This window comes from Homo sapiens, chromosome 20, assembly GCF_000001405.40.
Source record: "Homo sapiens chromosome 20, GRCh38.p14 Primary Assembly".
In the NCBI taxonomy this organism is placed as follows: domain Eukaryota; kingdom Metazoa; phylum Chordata; class Mammalia; order Primates; family Hominidae; genus Homo; species Homo sapiens.
The window spans coordinates 29447884-29452158 of NC_000020.11; the positions used below are offsets into that span (position 1 = coordinate 29447884).

The window sequence follows — 4275 nt, forward strand, 5'->3', positions numbered from 1 at the left end:
TCCCTTCCTCCCTCCCTCCTTCCCTCTCTTCCTCCCTCTATCCCTCCATCCCTTCCAAGGTCCCTCCGTCCATCCGTTCTTTCCTCCCTCCATCGCTCCCTCCCTCTCTGTCTCCGTTCCTCTCCCCATCTCTGCCTGAGTTCCCTCCCGCGTAGAAAGGGCAGCACCCCGGTTTGCGCGGGGTCTCGGGTCTGCATTTAGCTGTCAGGCGCTCCACGGTGATAGCGAGGAAGCTGGCGGGGCACGGGTAGGCGAGTGACGGTGGCGGGGGGAGGCAGAGGTAGCCAGACGAGGAAAGAAGAGCAGGCCTGGTGGCTGCCCGGGCCAGTGTTTCCCGGGATGGAGGTCTCCGCCCACTCTACTGAAGAACGCGAGTGGGTGGGGGGGAAAGGGATGAGAGCTCCGCCTGCAAACCCGCGCATGAGCAGTAGACGGTTCACCTCCCGGTACCTGGACGGGCTCTGGGATCCCCGGGATGCTCAGGAAAGAATGACAGCCCTCCACTGTGTGGGGTCTCTCACGGGACCTGGAACTCAGGGATCCTAGGCAGGTCAGCTGGAAGGGAAGACACGCCTCTCCATACCGAGTCAGAAGTTCACCGCGAAAGAGAGGCCGCCGCCCCAACCCCGCGTCCTAAAGCTCCTCCAGCAGAGCCCGGTGTTCTTCCTGGCTGAAGAGTGGTTCCAGCAGAGTGGGCTCTTCCACGTCCTTCAGCTCCCCCAGTGGCGCCGGATCTAGGAAAGGTTGTGCCTTTTGCTGAAACTCTAGGGTCGACAGGAGCTCATCTAATAGGCTGGGGGTGAGTGCAGAGGAGCGCCTTGCCTCCTGGAGCGGTTGGGAGGCTCCTGAATGGCTTCCATCTGTGCTTGACACGGAGGCCTCCGGGGTCACGAGCTTCGGAGTTGGAGGTGCCCAGTCTTTGGTTTCCCATGCAGCCCTGGCGACCTGGGGCTCTAGTCCCACCGCAGACTCCGGTGGGACGTGGGTGGCGCAAGCACACCTTGGCCCTGTGACTCAGCTTGAGGGGGCCCAAGCTGTCCCACTGAGCACGCGCCCAGCAGGCCGTCGTGCTGTGGGTCCTGGTCCTCCTGGCATTTGTTGGGGTGCAGAGGCCACCGAGGAGTCTGAGTGTGGGACAACCCCACTTCTGGAGGAGCCAGGGCAGCGAACACAAAATCCTCGCATGCCGGGGCAGGTTGGGAGATTCCTTCTGCCTGTGCAGCCTGGCTGGGCTGGCACGGCCTGGCTGGGGCAGGGCCTGGCTCGGCCAGGGCCAGGCTGGGCCAGGCCTTGCTGCCTGGCTCACGAAAGCCCCCTGTGGGAGAGCCCCAGGCACACAGAGTGTGTGGGGTGCAGGAAGCCCCGTTCCCCATGCCCCGGTGTGGGTGAACTCGATTGAGGGAGGAGGTTGACACCCGCCAGGGGTGTTAATTAGTAACCACAGTGGCCTCAAAGAGCTCAAATGAAAGGAAGAACTGCACGTCTCTTAGTTTAAGTCAAGAGCTAGAAAGGATTAAGCTTAGTGAAGATGTAAAATTTTCATCACTAGAGAGACGTCAACGCTTGGCTTCAAAACTTCAAAGGATGGGCTGACTCTCTTTGAGGACCACTGCAATTGGTGACTTTAAGTTACAGCCAATGCTCATTTGACCACTCTGAAAATCTCAGGGCCCTTAAGAATTATGCAAGTCTATTCTTTCTGTTCCCTAGAAATGGAACATCACAGTCTGAGTGACAACACATCTGTTAACAGCATGGTTTACTGAATATTTTAATCCCACTATTGAGACCTACTGCTCAGAAGAAAAAAAAAAAAAAACGATTCCTTTAAAGAGATTGCTGCTTGGCCAGGTGCAGTGGCTCACACCTGTAATCCCTGCACTTTGGGAGGCCGAGGTGGGTGGATCACGAGGCCAGGAATTTGAGATCAGCCTGGCCAATATGGTGAAACCCCGTCTCTACTAAAAATACAAAAAAATTAGCCTGGCATGGTGGTCGTACCTGTAATTTCAGCTACTTGGGAGGCTGAGGCAGAAGAATGGCTTGAACCCTGGAGGCAGAGGTTGCAGTGAGCTGAGACCATGCCACTACCCTCCAGCCTGGGCAACAAGAGTGAAACTACATAAAGGAAAAAAAAAAAAAAAGGAAAGAAAAGAAAAAAGGAAAAAAGATTATTGCTTATTGACAATTCACCTAGCTACCCAGAAGCTTAGATGGAGATGTACTTGGAAATTAATGTTATTTTCATGGCTGCTAATACAATATCTGTCCTTCAGCCTGTGGATCAAGGAGTGGTTTTGGCTTTCAAGTGTTTTTATTAATTAATAAATGCATTTTGTAAAGGTATAGCTATCATAGATAGTGATGTCTTTGATGAATCTGGATAAACTGAATTGAAAACCTTTTGGAAAGGATTCACCATTAATCCTTTCATGATATTTGAACCTCCTCCCGTGAATCACAAATGTCCTTAATAGCAATCCTTAAATTACATTAAGGACATTTGTGATTGATGGGAGGAGGTTGAAATATCAACATTAACAGGAGTTTGGAAGAAGTTGATTCCAGGCCTCATGGATGACTTTGAGGGCTTGGGATGTCAGTGGAGGAAGTCCCTACAGATGTGGTAGAAATCGCAATGCAACCAGAATTAGAATTAGGGCCTTAAGATGAGATTAAATTGCTCTGAATTCATGATGAAACTTGAACAAATGGGGAGTTGCTTCTTATGGACGAGCAAAGAAAATATTTTCTTGAGGTGGAATCTACTCCAGGTGGAGACGCTATGAACATTGTTGAAATAACAACAAAGGATTTAGAATATTCCACAAACCTAGTTGATAAAGCAGCAGCAGGGTTTGAGAGGGTTTACTCTAATTTTGAAGGAAGTTCTATTGTGGATAAAATGCTATCAAACAGCATCACATGCTACAGGGAAATCTTTTGTGAAAGGAACAAACTTCGTTGTTTTAAGAAATTGATACAGGCATCCAACCTTCAGCAGCCCCCATGCTGATCAGTCAGCAGCCATCAATATAGAGGCAAGACCCTCACCAGCAAAAACATTATGACTTGGTAAGGCTCAGATATCCATTAGTATCTTTCAGCAATGAGGAATTTTAAGTTAAAGTATGTACATAGCTTTTTAGAAGTAATGCGGTTACAAATTAATTAATTAATTAATAATTAATTATTAAATACTCATTAGACTACAACATAGTTTAAGCATAACTTTTATAAGCACTGGGAAACAAAATGTTTATGTGACTAACTTGATTGTAACATTTGCCTTATTGCGGTTGTCTGGAACCAAACCCACACTATCTCTGAGTATGCTTGTAGGTTTTTGTTTGTTCCTTGTTTTGAGATGGGGTTTCGCTCTGTCGCCCAGGACAGAGTGCAGTGGCATGATCATAGCTCACTGCAGCCTCTAACTGCTGGGTCAAGTGATTTTTCTACCACAGCCTCCTGAGTAGCTGGGACAACAGGCATGCAACACTATGCCTGGCTATTTTTTTTTTTTTTTTTTTTTTTTTTGAGATGGAGTCTCGCTCTTTCCCCCAGGCTGGAGTGCAGTGGCGCGATCTCCGCTCACTGCAAGCCCCGCCTCCCGGGTTCACGCCATTCTCCTGCCTCAGCCTCCCAAGCAGCTGGGACTACAGGCACCCGCCACCACACCGTATAATTTTTTGTATTTTTAGTGGAAACGGGGTTTCACTGTGTTAGCCAGGATGGTCTCGATCTCCTGACCTCGTGATCCGCCCACCTCGGCCTCCCAAAGTGCTGGGATTACAGGCGTGAGCCACCGCGCCCGGCCTCTGCCATTATCTTCTATTAACTTTGTAGTTTGACCTTTTGCTTTTAGGTCTTAAAGCCATTTGGTGTTAAGCACCATTGTTATACGTACTTGAGTAATGGGAAAACTGAGGCACACAGAAGGTGAGTAATTTGAAGACTATACAGTTCAACAAGTGACAGAGCTAGTATTCAAACCGAGGCAGCCTGGCCCCTGAAACTGTGTTCCGTAGCTACTGTGTCATGCTGCTTCTCCATTGACCAGGATCGGTGATTCAGAAGTTGCTGTGTGCAGAGCCTTTAAATGCCAATCTTTCACTCTGTCCTCCCAACAGCCCTGAGCAGTAAGGCCTGTTATTACCAGATTAAAGAAACTGAGGTTCCCAAAAGATAAGTGGCAAAACCAGATCTTTCAGACTCCACCCTTTGTGTTTTTGGACACTAAACTATAGTCTCCCCTGAAATAACCAGGAATCACGC

General features: G+C 49.2%; 1 long non-coding RNA gene and 1 pseudogene across 1 annotated transcript in view, besides 1 other annotated feature; both read left to right on the forward strand.

The window, feature by feature from the left end:
* Window positions 1–4275: part of a centromere (Linear centromere model derived predominantly from reads generated in PMID: 17803354. This region does not represent an actual centromere sequence, as long-range ordering of repeats and unmapped WGS contigs is not provided by the model. For details of model production, see http://arxiv.org/abs/1307.0035.) that runs on past both edges of the window.
* Window positions 624–1425, forward strand: DUX4L35 (double homeobox 4 like 35 (pseudogene); annotated as a pseudogene).
* Window positions 634–4275, forward strand: part of LOC105379477 (uncharacterized) — a 9665-nt gene continuing 6023 nt past the window's right edge. The window contains exon 1 of the long non-coding RNA NR_134504.1: window positions 634–799. This is a non-coding gene — a long non-coding RNA (uncharacterized LOC105379477). The remainder of the gene's footprint in view (window positions 800–4275) is intronic.